Here is a 15,161-nt window from a genome sequence, read left to right as displayed (position 1 = left end):
GTTCAAGTGAAAGAAAGGGTCACACGTATCCCACTTTAAATAAAAAACTAGAAATGATTAAGCTGAGTGAGGAAGACATGTCAAAACCAAGATAGGCCAAAAGCCAGGCCTCTTGTGCCAAATAGCCAAGTTGTGGATGCAAAGAGAAAGTTCTTCAAGTAAATTAAAAATGCTACTCCAGCAAACACATGAATGGTAAGAAAGTGAAACAGCCTTATGCTGACGCGGAGAGTTTGAGTGGTCTGGATAGAACACCAAACCAGCCACAACATTCCCTTAAGCCAGAGCCTAATCCAGAGCAAGGCCCTAACTCTCTTCAATTCTGTGATGCCTGAGAGGTATGAGGAAGCTGCATAAGCAGAGATTGGTTCATGACATTTAAAAAAAGAAGTCATCTCGAGAATGTAAAAGTGCAGGGTGAAGCAGCAAATGCTGATGGAGAAGCTGCGGCAAGTTATCCTGAAGATCTAGCTAAGATCATTGATGAAGGTGACTACACTAAATCACAGATTTTCAGTGTAGATGAAACAACCTTGTATTAGAAGATACTACCTAAGATTTTCATAGCTAGAGAGGAGAAGTCAATGTCTGACTTCAAAAATTTAAAGGACAGGCTTACTCTCTTGGTGGGGCTGGTGCTGCTGGTAACTAAGTTGAAGCCAATGCTCACTGACCATTTTGAAAATCTTAAGGGCCCTTAAGAATTATGCTAAATCCATTCTGCCTGTTCTCTAGAAATGGAACAAGGCCTCGCTGACAGCACATCTGTTTATAGTATGGTTTACTAAATATCTTAAACCCCCTGTTGAAAACTACTGCTTAGAAAAAACTATTCCTTTCAAAATATTATCGTTCAATATTAACAATGCACTTAGTTACCCAAGAGCTCTGATGGAGATTTACAAGGAGATAAATGCTGTTTTCATGTATGCTAATATAACATCCATTCTGCAGTCCACAGATAGAGGGGATAATTTTGACTTTCAAGTCTTATTTAGGAAATACATTTTATAAGGCTATAGCTGCCATAGAGAGTAGTTCCTCTGATGGAACTGGGCAAAGTAAATTGAAAACTTTCTGGAAAAGATTCTCATTCTAGATGTCGTTAAGAACATTCATGATTCATGGTAGGAAGTGAAAATATCAACAATAACAGGAGTTTGGAAGAAGTGGATTCTAACCCTCAGGGATGACTTTGAGAGGCTCAAGACTTCAGTGGAGGAAATAACTGCAGATGTGGTAAAAAAAAAAAAGCAACAAAACTAGAATTAGAAGTGGAGCCGGAAGACGTGACTGAATTGCTGCAATCTCATGATAAAACTTTCACACACAAGGAGTTGTTTATTATGAATAAGCAAAGAGAGTGGTTTCTTGAGATGGAATCTACTCCTGCTGAAGATGCTCTGAACTTTGTTGAAACGACAACAAAGGATTTAGAATATTGCATAAATAGTTGATAAAGCAGTGGCAGAGTTTGAGAAGATTGACTCCAATTTTGAAAGACGTTCTGTAGGTAAAATGCCATCAAACAGTATTGCATGCTAGAGAAATCTTTCATGAAGGGAAAAGCCAATGAATGCAGCAAACTTCACTGTTGTCTCAGTTCAAGAAATTGCCACAGCCACCCTGATTGGTCAGCAGCCATCCACATCCAGAAAGACCACCCACCAACAAGAAGATTATGACTTGACAAAGACTTAGATGATTATTAGCACTTTCTAGCAATAAAGTATTTTTAAATTAAGGTATGTACATTGTTTTTTAGACATAATGCTATTGCACACTAGATAGACTACAATATAGTGTGAATATAACTTTTATATGAACCGAGAAACCTGAAATATTTATATGACTTTATTGCGATAATTGCTTTATTGCTGCAGTGTGGAACTGAGCCTGCAATATCTCCGAAGTACACCTGTACGTTCCTTAATGTTATTCTCTGCCTAAAAACACTCAATGCCTCTGCACTGCTCTTAAAATGAAATCCAAACAGATGGGATGACTTTCATCTGTGCTCTCAGCCTCTTCTTCCAATATTCCCCTCCGCATCACTCTCCCAGAAGCCCCAAGATCCAGCCAAGGGAAAGGCAAGAGAGTGTGCAGAAAAGAAAACATATGTCCATTGCAATTTATTGGATATCCACTGAGGGCAAGGCCTGCTATGTACACAATTCTACGGTCATGTCTGCGTTCTCTGAACTGACTCCTGGGTCTTATCTCCTGGGCGATAACGGTCAATTTTGCTTGACTGTTTCTCCCTCGTGATTCTACACTTCAGGTCTCAGAAGAATTCCCTTTCGCCAAGGCCTTGAGTATTGAGGGTGAAGGAAGCACTGAGACCTCTTAGAGGAGTCACCAGGAGGCTGATGGGAGAGACTGAGATTGAAACGAGCTCCACAAACTCAGGTGGCTGAGCATAGAACTCCCTTTTCACTCCCAGAGATGTCCAGAAGCAGCAGCAAGGCCTGGGTTGTGCTCCTGGCTACTTAAACCTGAGCTTTTCAGGACTAAAAGCCATAGGCAGCCACAAAGAGCACACCTGCTATGGATGGCTGGCGACACTCTGGTCTGGTGAATGGGCCTCACCTGTGCCACCAGGATTGAACCTGGAAGCCCCTCAACCAATCCTGATGTCCATGTCTGTTCACAGACCCCGAGACCCTTGAAGGACGTGTTGGTTCTCTTGTGGGAGGACCTCACTTCCAGCAGCCATGTGCATCTGAGCCTTCCAGCCAACCTCCTACAAAGGGAGGTCATTTATTTATGAGGTCATTTATCAGGAACTTATGCACTGGGGAATGAGTGTTCCTCAAACTTTTAGGGATCAACTGGACACAGATTCTCTGCTAACACCAATTGCGGGGCACTCAGTTACCCTGAAGCTCTGTTGGAGCAGAAGGGGCTGCCTTAAAGGGTCAGATAACAGAGTCATGTGACAACAGAAGCTGTGATGGAGCCCTGACTTTGCCACCTACCACGTGATCCTGTGCAGAGCTTCCTTTCTCCTGTCTCCATCTCTTCTATCACACCGAGGTGGTACACCTTGCTCTGTCCATTATACAGACACTGAAAGAACTTGCCCTCTCCCCTCCCTTCTCCTCCCTCCCATCCAAAAACAAGTGCCTGCTAAGGGCCAGGCCCAGTTCTAGGCAGCCTGGGATGCACTGATGAACATCATGGACAAATATCTCAGTCCTCATGGAGTTTATATGGGAGGGGAACACACATGGTAAACAATAAGCATAATTAATAAGTCAGGTACATAGGAACTGAAATGGCAGTAAGTACGAGATGGCTAAAAAGAGAGAAAACTGAACAAGGCAAGGGAGATCCAAATTCCAGAAAGTCCAAGGACCCTTCAAGATGATGGTTGTCAAAGTTTTTGGTTAGTGGTTATCAAACTTTTGGTCTCTGGATCCCTTTACACTCTTAAAAAGTTTTGAGGATCCCCAAAAGCCCTTGTGTATGTGATTTTACCAATTTTTGCCATATTAGAAATCAAAACTAAAAAACACTTAAAATATGTATTTAAAAGTAACAACAATAAACCTTTTACATAAAATCATGAGTAACATTTTTCAATGAAAAGTGACATATTCTAAAGCAAGAACAAAATAATTAATGGGAAGCATGGCATTGTTGTACATTTCTGCAAATGTTCTTCATTTCTGGTTTAATAGAAGGCAGCTGGCTTCTCCTATCCACCTCTGGATTCCATCCATTGTAGCATCACGTGTCAGGAAGCCTTTAGAAGATTCCATTGTTCAAGCATGAGAGAGTGAGAGTGAAAAAGGCAAACCATACTTGTGAAAGTAGTTTTGACCTCACAGATCCCCAGAAAGAGGCTCAGGGACCCCCGAGGGCCTCTGGACCACACATTGAGAACCATGGCTCTGGTGTGTTCCAGTCTCCTCGTCCTTTCAGATGAGACACTGTGGTCCTGAGTGGACAGTGAGTTCTGAGTTCTTACAGTTGGTCAGCAGCACAGACTGAGACCAGACCCACGACTTCCTACCTTAGCCAAGATTCTCTCCTCAGCTTGATGTGTGTTTGTTGCTTTATTATTTCAACACAAATCACATGTGCAGGTATTTAACTCTGCTTATAATGAAGGAGCAATTTTTAAAAGAAGAAAGGTACAAGCTCAGTGGCCATGGTGCGGCCACAGATAAGTCTTGCTGGCCTGCAAAGCCCGGCTGTTAACTGGCGTGTCTACGCCCCCATCCATCTCACTGGGCAGGGGCTTGCACAATGCTCCTTTGTGCTTTCTGAAAGGCCTGTGTGTTTCAGGTGTAGCCTTGTGTACTGTGAGAAGAGTCATTACAATAACAGTAAATATTCCTCTTTGATGAATGGAACGAAGGTGGTTTAAACTGAAGCTGCATCTTGACGGGAGGAGGGGAGGCAGTGAGCCGTGCAGGCCAGCCAGTCACACTTGGAAGAGCATCCACCCTTCTGCATGAGTGTCTTTGACTCACCTTGACCTTCAGTGCCGGGGTTGCCAGTTGAGTCTATGTTCTGGGAGGCATTGGTTGCCTTAGTCGTGAGCCAGCTAATGTGAGTGGGTCGGCTCTTCTGTTAGATGGAACTACAAATGGAAGCTACCAACTTTTAGTTTCTATTCCAAAAAAGGGCTGGCCCTTGGAGTGAGGGTGGCCTGAACAAACCGTGCCTTCCCTGAGCTCTCCAGGTGGTGTAGGCATGAGTCATTTAGATGTTATCAGGCGGGAGAAAGTCCTGAAAGGGACGCCAGTGAGTCACTGTGCCGGGCAAAGACTGGTGAGACACACAGAAACGAAGTCCAAAAAATCAATATGGTGCGCCTCCCCCAGGGGCCCAGAGGGGATTGTGCAAGCCACGATTCCACCTCCAGGAGGGGAGGGCTGGGCCGGGTGGGGGTGGGTGGGGGCAGATGGCTGCAGCCAGCCCTGGGAGCATGGAATCTGTGGGGATCTCTAAGCCGGAGCCCCAGCACCTGTCGCCTTAGCCTACTATTAACATGCCAATCTTTCACGGTGGTCTTCCTTTTAACATTTAAAAATGTAAAACCAGGTGCATGGGACAGGCTTGAGGGTCTTCTGGAATGGAGGAAAGGAACTGAGCTTTGCGAGAGAAGGCCAACAGGCTGCTCCTGGAACCAGGAAGGCCAGCTCCGGAGAGTTTAAAATTTATCCTTTTAATAGACAGCTCTAACTGAGAACCTATTTTTAAAAATTTTAGTTCCTCAATTTTTTTCAGATAATTTTGACGTCATAAAATAATTTGGTTGATAGAGTTTTTATGGCGGTTGTAAATGTGAATTATTACATACTTACCATGTTTATTGAGACTCTGGACTAAGTTTAAGAGAACTTTCATGTATTCAATACCGTACAGTTAGAAATTCATTTTCATGTTTCTTCTTTTCAAATGTTCAACTCTTTAATTGATCTTATTGATAAAACAGCGCTACAATTAAAAATAGGTGGCAAAAATCTTATGCTATAAATACTGTCTCATGTTAGGGCTTAATACTAATGCGAACTTAGACAAGTTGTCATTTTAAAATCCAAAAAAATATATAGACGAGAATTAGGGTATGTAAATTCCTTTACACCATACTTAATGCTGTTAGTAAATAAATCATTTAAAGAACCATATACATATTTCTCTTGAATTAACACTTGAATGCCCTTATCTCTCTCACAATAAGAATTTGCCATTCTTATTAGAAACATTCACTATCTGGTATAGAGATGTTAAGCTCTCTGTACTGGTTGGTAAGGGGGTGATGGTGCAAGGGAGTTTAGATGAAAAGCTTGGCTTTTATTTGTGTCTGACCAAGCTAGGGCCTTTCTTATCATGTATCATAAGAACCTGGATCCCTTGCTCCACCTACCATATTCATAAGAACATTCTAGATCTACCCAAATCAGGAGCATGCATTTTCTCTCTGTGGTGTCAAATGGGGACTGAGAAAGTACAGGCTTTTTAATGATCCGCACTCCTGGCTCCCCTTCACGTGGGTTCATTCAGCAGGTACGAGGTGCTCAGCAAATGTTTCTGAATGACTGCCAGCATCCAGAAACAGACTGCAGAAGGAAAAATAAGGTTTATTATAATGCCATTGCACCATGAATTTTAAAATAAAATTTCCAACTTGACAGACAACATTTAAACAAATTTTGTGGCCACTTTGTGGTAGTCTCGGACTTGTCAGGCCACACAGAAATTTCAGAAAAAAAAATTTAAAAAGTCAGTCAAGATACAGACACAGAGGCCAGAGCTCAGCAGTGTTCCCCTCTATTTCAGCCGAGGCCCTCACAGAAAAACATTTTGTAAGCTGCCCCCACTGACCCCCAGCCCAGAATCTGCAGCGCCCCTGCCTGGAGGGCCAAGAGGATATTATGCCCATAGCTTTTGTCCAAAACTGCCAAAGCTGGGATTAGAAACCAACAAAAACTTAATGTTAGGATGTAATCTTAAAAGACATAGTTGGCCAAAAAATGCAGCCACATTTGGACTGATAAACAGCACGCAGACCCATTATTTATTTATTATTTAATTTTGCAACTGGATATTTTAGTTTGTGTTACACTAGGGCATAATTCAATGCAACAGCAACCCATAGAATTAAAAGCTCATGCTATACAAAAAGTAAGTTTTGTTTTGGGTGTATTTTGACAGGCAGCCTAGCAGCATTGATCAAATTATGGCTCTGCTGTTCACAAGCTGTGTGACCTTGGGTGAGCTACTGACTCTCTCTGGGCCTCGGCTGTAATGTGGGGGCCACAGCACCTACCCCAGTTGTGTTGTGAGGATCATTAAGCCTCCTGACAATCTCTCTCTCTCTCTGTCTCTCAATCATCTGTCAATCACACAGGCTACAGACCAGGCCACATACACAATGCATCAGCACAATCTATGCTGGGAAAACAAATGCTGTCATTGACCACACTGCATCCATAAAGGATCAATTTGGTGTTTTTATGTAAAGTAAGATTGTTTTCTCCTCTAATTTGAGAATCTGTTAGAGTGATGGAAGTTTGAGAATCTAGAAACACAAAGTAAAAATGAAAAACAGTCGAAGCAGAAGATATAATTTCCTTGTTTCTGCGCTGCCCCACTGCTGTGTAGCGAAATAGAAATGACTTTTTAAAGTTCAGTTTAATACATCAGACAATCACAACCTATTATAGCAAGTGGGGGCTTACTGCCCCTAGACTGGGTAGCCAACTGAGGCATACAACGGCTTCTTATCTCCTAAAATGGAACTCAGTAGGTCAAACCTCCTTGTTGGGTTGTGGGGAGGATTAATGAGACAATGTTTGCTCAGAGAGGGCAGCAAAGTCTGTTTCTACCTTCTCCAAAGGGCTTCTTTATGTTATGTAAATAGAGACTGTTTTTTGTTGTTGTTTGTTTTAAGACAGGGTCTCCCTTTGCCACCCAGGCTGGAGTTCAGTCGTATGAACATGGCTCACTACAGCCTTGACCTCCCAGGCTCAAGCCATCCTCTTACCTCAACCTCCCGAGAAGCTGGGACTACAGGTGCATGCCACTATGCCAGGCTAATTTTTGTATTTTTTTAGAGGTGGGGTTTGCCATGTTGCCCAGGCTGCTCTTGAACTCCCGGGCTCAAGCGATTTGTTTGCCTCAGGCTCCCAAAGTGCTGGGGTTGAAGGTGTGAGCTACTGCACTTGGGCAATTGTTAATATTTTGATTTACATAGAAACCAATGATTGGTTAACAGTGACTGATTTTCCTGGTAAGCCCAAAGTAAACCATCAGTGAAAAATGAATGGCAGCCTTGAAACCTGCCCTCATGATAAAAACTTGATCAACAGCCTGATTTGAGTTTCTGCCAAACACAAGTGACAGTGTCTGACTCCTATGCTACAGCAAGCTCTGAATGGATCGCCTCTGCCTGCTCTCCTTTGGGTAGTCTTTGTTTATTTCCACACACGTTTAGTTGTTTTGGTTATTTTAACCACCATTTTCACTTGTTTCTTAAACAGTGACTGTAGAATACATCTTCTGGTCAATTTTACCAAGAATATTTTCCAATATCTTACACATACATAAAGGCTAAAACGGAAGCCTCAACCAATTTCAAATGCTTGATACATGACAGACCACATTCTGTAGTCGCCATGCTATTAAATTAGAAACCCATGTGATTGAAGTTTAACAAAGATAATTATGGGCCAGGCGTGGTGGCTTATGCTTTTAATCCCAACACTTTGGGAGGCCGAGGTGGACTGATCATGAGGTCAGGAGTTCGAGACCAGCCTGACCAACATGGGGAAACTTTGTCTCTACTAAAAATACAAAAATTAGCCAGGCGTGGTGGTGCACACCTGTAATCCTAGCTCCTCAGGAGGCTGAGGCAGGAGAATCATTTGAACCCAGGAGGCAGAGATTGTAGTGAGCCGAGATCGCGCCGCTGTACTCCAACCTGGACGACAGAGTGAGAGTCCATCTCGAAAAAGAAAAAGAAAAAGAAAGGTAATTATGAAGAATTCATTAATGTATGGATTAAAGATAATGTATTAGTTTGCTAGGGCTGCCATAACTAACGCCACAGACTGGGTGACTTAAACATTAGACTTATTTTCTCACAGTTCTAGAGGCAAGAGGTCTAAGATTGAGGTGACGACAGGCTTGATTCCTTGCGAGGCCTCCCTCTGGCTTGCAGATGGCTGCCTTCTCACTGTCCTCACATGGGCTTTGTGCCTGTGTGTCTGTGTCAGAAACTCCTCTTCTAATCCAGTCATGCTGGACTAAAGCTCACCCTAACCACCCCATTTTAATTTAATTACCTCTATAAAGGCCCTACCTGCAAAAAGTCATGTTATGAGGTTCTGGGGGATTTCAACATATGAATTTTTGGGGGACACAATTCACTCCAAAAAGAATGATCAGAAATATTTTTCCACTATTCCCATTCAGCAGCAGGAGCTGTGTGCCTTCCAATGATCTGGGAGACCTTTCTGTGTTGCTTCAAGCAACAGACTATGGTGGAATTGTGCTTTGCTAATTTCTAGATTCAATTCCCAGACTGGCCAGTTCCTCTCTCTCTGGGGATCTGAGCTGCTTTGAGTTGGTCCAACCATCCTGAGCCTGCCAAGCTGCAGAGGCCAGAGGTAGCCACTGTCCAGCAGTCTCACTGAGCATGCCATCCAGCCATCTGCACCCAGATGCCAACATGTGAGTGAAAGTCCTTGGACCCTCCAGACCAGCCCATCTACCAGCTGAAGATCACTAGTTCCCTTAGTTAATGTTCAGAAGAGCAGGAGAATCATCCAGCTGAAGCCTGTCCCAATTCATGACCCACAATATCATGAGATAGAATGAAATGATTGTCATTTTAAGCTAATTTTTTTTTTTTGGAATGCAGCAATAGATAATCAAAACAAAAGGTGGAAGAAGAAATCATAATGGACATTAAAATATTTACAACTGAATGATTAGGAAAATACTAAATATGAAAAAGGAGGCTGAGCACGGTGGCTCACGCCTGTAATCCCAGCACTTTGGGAGGCCGAGGTGGGTGGATCATGAGGTCAGGAGATCGAGACCATCCTGGCTAACATGGTGAAACCCATCTCTACTAAAAAATACAAAAAATTAGCCAGGTGTGGTGGCGGGCACCTGTAGTCCCAGCTACTTGGGAGGCTGAGGCAGGAGAATGGCATGAACCTGGGAGGCAGAGGTTGCAGTGAGCCAAGATCACGCCACTGCACTCCTGCCTCCATCTCACAAAAAAAAAAGAAAGAAAGAAAGAAAGAGGACGTGCAGCTAAAGCAGAACTTAGAAGCACATTTATAGCTTGAAATTGTTTATACATATTGGGGAAAAAGGGCAAGGCTGAAAATTAATAAGAAAAGCATCCATCTTAATATGCAAGAAGAAGAACAGAAAAATAAATAAGCTTGAGATCTAGGCCTGCACATCAGATCTTCAAGAAGTCTTCAGGGCTCCTAAAATGACAAACTTTTGGTAGCATGTCAGGGAAAGTCCATACATCTCAATGGGTTCACAACATTTCTGTTTGCTGGTTGCACAGGCTCCTCCAACTTCTCTATATAATTTCCTTAGTTGCTGCCACCACTAGGGCTGTGGTGATGAGGGCTATTGTTTCTCCTTCTTTGTGTGTCTGTGTTTGCATTGTTTGCATTGTTTGTTGCTCTCTCTGCTAAGAGGTGGTGATTCTCTCAATCTAATCATAAAAGTCACAAAGGCAGTCCACGGTGCTGCACACTTTGCCCTGTCTGTGCCTGAGGATGAACTCTCTAACATTGCCTACTCTTGGCCATCATTTTTTACCTGAGTTCCTAGAAGGTCCCAATGACACACCCTGGCACCATTGGTCCTCAAAGCCCATCTACTTCTGGCTGCCTGACTTTGGAGCCATGGCTTCCTACTCTGCTGTCCTTCAGGATTCTCAAGAATCTGGCCCCTGTCCACCCTCATAGTCCTCGATTCTGAATGCACCTGAGCACATCCTACGCTTGCTAGCCTCTACCTCTTGTTGTGCCCTGCGTGCAGCCCTCAGCTCCCACCACTGTCTCTATTTCATGTACACTAACGAGACATCTTGACTGAGTGCAAGGACAGGGGCTGTGAATCAGAATGGCTTGACTGTAAATTCCACTCCACCTCTTATGGGAGTGTCACCTTGGGCACATGATCACACTGATTTCCAATTCCCATATTGCTGTTGAAAAGATGAAAGGAATCATTCCTCAAAAAGTTAAGCACAGACTTATCATATGATCCAGCAGTCTCACTCCCAGTGTGTATACTTAAGAGAAATCAAAATGTGGCTGGGAGTAGTGGCTCGAGGCTGTAATCCCAGCTCTTTGGGAAGCTGAGGCAGGTGGATCTCTTGGCTCAGGGGTTCAAAACCAGCCTGGACAACGTGGCAAAACCTTGTCTCTACAAAAAATACAAAAATTAGCTGGGTATGGTGGCACATGCCTGTAGTCCCAGCAGCTTGGGAGGCCAAGGTGGGAGGATCACTTGAGCCCAGGAGTTCAAGGCTGCAGTGAGCCATGATTGCACCACTGCACTCCAGAGCCTGGGTGACAGAGTGAGACCCTGTCTCAAAAAAAAAAAAAAAAAAAAAAAAAAGCCCATACAGAAACATGTATACAAATGTTCACAGCAGAATTATTCATAGTAGCCCAAAATACACACAACAAAATATTATTCAGCCAAAAAATGAGGGAAGAACTGACATATGTTACGACATGGATGAACCTTGAAAACATGCAAAGTGAAAGAAGTCAGAAACAGAAAGTCACTTGTATGATTCTGTTTATATGAAATGTCCAGAATAGGCACATCTATAGAAACAGAAAGCAGATTGGTGGTTTCCAGGGGCTGAAGGGAGGAAGGAGTGGAGAGTTCTTGTTTGACAGTTATGGGGAATTTTTCTGGGGTGATGAAAAAGACTGGAAACTAGAGATAGGTGGTAGCTGCCCAACACTGTGAATGCACTAAATTGTGCATTTAAAATACTTACTTGTATGTTACGTGAGTTTTACCTCAAATTTTTTTTTTTTTTTGAGATGGAGTCTTGCTCTGTTGCCCAGGCTGGAGTGCAGGGGTGTGATCTTGACTCACTGCAACCTCTGCCCCCTAGGTTCAAACGATTCTCCTGCCTTAGCCTCCCAAGTAGCTGGGACTACAGGCGCCTGCCATCACACCCGGCTAATTTTTTGTATTTTTAGTAGAGACGGGGTTTCACTGTGTTAGCCAGGGTGGCCTTGATCTCCTGACTTCATGATCTGCCCGCCTCGGCCTCCCAAAGGCCTGGGATTACAGGAGTGAGCCACCACGCCCAGCCCTCAATTTTTAAAAAATGATGTAAGAAATAAAGGACACATGGTAAGTGTGCAAGGAATATGAGTCACTGTTATTACCACCATCATCCACATTACCTGTCAGCCACACCCCATTCCTTTCTGCCCAGTAACTAACGGGGCTGCTTTAAGCCCTGGGTAGGCTGTAGGGTCTCTCAATTTTGGAGGCTCCATGATACATTCCATCACATATGTTAAAATGCATCTACTTCTCATCTTAAATATTTTCAAATGTAAAGTAATTTGAAACAATTAAGAGAAAACATTGCTTTCAAAATTAGTTGGCGAAAAGTAGTTATTTTCGTTCCTGGTGCATGCTTGAGAATTCTGAATTCTGATGAAGTGAGAAAAACAAACTTACACATTTTTTGCAAATGTAATGGAATTTGTATGTATGCAAAATTCAGTTAATGAGTTGAGATAAGGTTACATTTTGTAGACATTTGATGAACCTATTTTAACTTCCTGATGTTTCTTTCTTGTCTAGGCTTTCAAATATTTTCATAGGCGCTAGAAAAGCTATAGGCTCAAAGCAACAGCCCTGATGCCCAGTGGAGAAGCTAGCCTTACAGAAAGTGTTCTTTTCATTTCTTTTCTATTATTCACAAATTCCTTTCCATATCATTCTTTCAACCTTCTTATTAGAATTGACTTTCAAGTTGATATATTAGTTTCCAAAAGAGGAAGATTCTCCCAGCCTTAATTAATGAAGAACTTACATTTCATTCCTCAAATACATGACTTCTGTCAGGATACTTCTGTACCCACCATGGATGTTATTTAGCTAGCTAAAGGGATAATGGTATGGTTACATTGAAAGAATAGACAAATCTTTACCATTCAGCTGTGCAAAAGTTATTTATAAGACATAGAAGATATACGCTACATACCCTAGTAAATGTGATCGTATAAAATAAAGGAGAACAGGCTGGGCATGGTGGCTCACGCCTATAATCCCAGCACTTTGGGAGGCCAAGGTGGGCAGATCACCTGGGGTCAGGAGCTTGAGTCTATCCTGACCAAAATGGAGAAACCCTGTCTCTACTAAAAAAATACAAAATTAGCCGGGCATGGTAGTGCATGCCTGTAATCCCAGCTACTCGAGAGGCTGAGGCAGGAGAATCGCTTGAACCTGGGAGGCAGACATTGCAGTGAGCCGATATCGCACCATTGCACTCCAGCCTGGGCAACAAGAGCAAAACTCCATCTGAAAAAAATAAAAATAATAAATAATGAAGGAGAACAAACCAGATGCTGATAGAATTCAGAAAAGGGGTGTTCAGGGAAGTGTATCTTGGAGGAGGTGGATCTGCCATTGAAATGAAAGGGTAGGCAGGATTTCAACAGGCAGAAGAGTGAGATCAGATTGAGATTTCAGATGGAGAAAGGAGCATCAGCAAGGAGAGATATGCTGGTTTTCTACTGCTGCCAAAACAAATGAACAGACATTTGCTGGGTTAAAACAACACAAGATTATCTTACAGTTCTGGAGGTCAGAGGTCTAATACAGATCTTGCCAGGCTAAAATCTAGGTGTTGGCAGGGTTGCATTCCTTTCTGGAGGCTCCAGGTAGAAATGCATTTCTTGCCTTTTTCAGCTTCTAAGGCTGCCCATTCCTTGGCTTGTGGCCCCATCCTCCATCTTCAATGCCAGCAACGGTTGGTTGAGTCTTTCCTGCATCTCATCGATTTGACACTGACTCTTTCAGTTTCCCCCTTCCACATGTAAAGATCCTTGTGTTTACATGGGTTCCCACCTGGAGAATCTAGGATAATTGTATTAGGCCATTCTTGCATTGCTCTAAAGAAATACCTAAGCCTGGGTAATTTATAAAGAAAAGAGGTTTATTTGGCTCACGGTTCTGCAGGCTATGTAGGAAGCATAGTGACTGTATCTGGTTGGCTTCTGGGGAGGCCTCAGGAAGCTTCCAATCAGGGTGGAAGAAGATGGAGCAGGCATCTCATATGGTGAGAATGAGGGCAAGAGAGAGCAAGTAGGGGGAAGGTGCCACACACTTAAAAACCAGATCTCCTGAGAATTCACTCATTATCACAACAGCACCAAGCCATGAAGGATCCGCCCCCATGACCCAATCACCTCCCACCAGGCCCCATTTCCAACACTGGGGATTACAATTCAACATGAGATTTGACAGGGACATATATTCAAGCTGTATCAATGATCTCATCATTTCAAAGTCAGCCGATTAGCAACATTAAATCTATCTGCTACCTTAATTCCCCCTTGCTATGTAAGGAAATATATTTACAGGTTCCTAAGATTAAGATGTGGACATCTTTGGACAGCCATTATTCTGCCTTCTAGAAGAGGGAAGCATGAAGTAACAAGTTTACTTAGGTGTCCAGTACTGACTCCCCAAAAACATCACCCCAACAACCTGCTGGTCAGGCAAAGCTGAGTTTACTGCTTCCCATGGTAAGCAACACAACTATCTCAACAAAGTCTGCATAGTATTTTCTGTGAGTATGACAAAGTTGGGCTATTTGTAAGGTTTAGGGGGTTTGGCAGGTCTTTCAATGGGGAAAGAAGTTTGAATAGGATTAAGGATCATGATATAATGGTTCAGGATTGGTGAAGACAGCAAGGTGAGGGTTTTAAGGCAGGGTTCTCAGAAGTGTATTGGAGAGTAAATAATCCTTGATACTAGTTATTGAAGAGTTGAGTAGTTTGATAATCACTTAAATTAGTTTTTCTGGGAAGTTCCTGAAACAATACAATTAGTAACTTTTATTTCCTGGGCAACGATTTCTTAGAATAGTAAAGTCATATTAGAGAGGGCAACTTAATAGTGAAGTTCTGCCAACGCAGACAGGAAAGCATGTGGGTGTTGGTGGTTTCTGCTCGAGTGATAGACTGAGGCCATAGAAGGCTTTCGACCAAGCTTGTCCAACCCACAGCACACAGACCACATGTGGCCCAATACTTTTTTAAGATATTATGATATTTTTTTGTGTGACTATTTTTTTTTTAGCTCATCAGCCGTTGTTAGTGTTAATATATTTTACATGTGATCCAAGACAATTCTTCTTCTGATGTTGCCCAGGGAAGCCAAAAAGAGCTATATGCTATTTTAAGGAATTTGAATTTTATTTGGATGAAATGTACATAACCACTTGCATGAGAGGAAGACCCTGGCAGCAGGTTGGAATGGAGACAAGATTGGAGCCTGGAGGCTTATGAGGTGGATATTGAAATGGTTCAGGCAAGAGGAATTGAGGACTTCAACCAGAGAGAGATTGCAGCATTTACTGCTTATTTGCTCATTCATCCAGAAAATACTCTACCAGTTTC

General features: G+C 42.8%; 1 long non-coding RNA gene across 1 annotated transcript, besides 2 other annotated features; it reads right to left on the bottom strand.

Annotated features, from left to right (window-relative positions):
- Nucleotides 1-3,292: 3,292 nt before the first annotated feature.
- LOC107985480 (uncharacterized) lies at nucleotides 3,293-8,379 on the bottom strand. The gene is made up of 3 exons (XR_001755102.2): nucleotides 8,340-8,379; nucleotides 5,882-6,074; nucleotides 3,293-4,779 (listed from the first exon to the last, which is right to left on the bottom strand). It is a non-coding gene; the product is annotated as an uncharacterized LOC107985480 (long non-coding RNA).
- Nucleotides 4,095-5,294: an enhancer, noted in NCBI's record as "BRD4-independent group 4 enhancer chr21:40159061-40160260 (GRCh37/hg19 assembly coordinates)". NCBI's record gives its function as "activates an origin of replication core promoter dependent on BRD2, P300/CBP, MED14 and CDK7 cofactors, and independent of BRD4, by STARR-seq in HCT116 cells {active_cell/tissue: HCT116}" and the evidence as "EXISTENCE:reporter gene assay evidence [ECO:0000049][PMID:35650434]".
- Nucleotides 4,291-4,380: an enhancer, noted in NCBI's record as "active region_18459". NCBI's record gives its function as "activates an Ori minimal core promoter by ATAC-STARR-seq in GM12878 lymphoblastoid cells {active_cell/tissue: GM12878}" and the evidence as "EXISTENCE:reporter gene assay evidence [ECO:0000049][PMID:35858748]".
- Nucleotides 8,380-15,161: the final 6,782 nt, after the last annotated feature.

Source organism: Homo sapiens, chromosome 21 (assembly GCF_000001405.40).
Source record: "Homo sapiens chromosome 21, GRCh38.p14 Primary Assembly".
NCBI lineage: Eukaryota > Metazoa > Chordata > Mammalia > Primates > Hominidae > Homo > Homo sapiens.
This window is presented reverse-complemented; position numbering and strand designations above follow the sequence as displayed.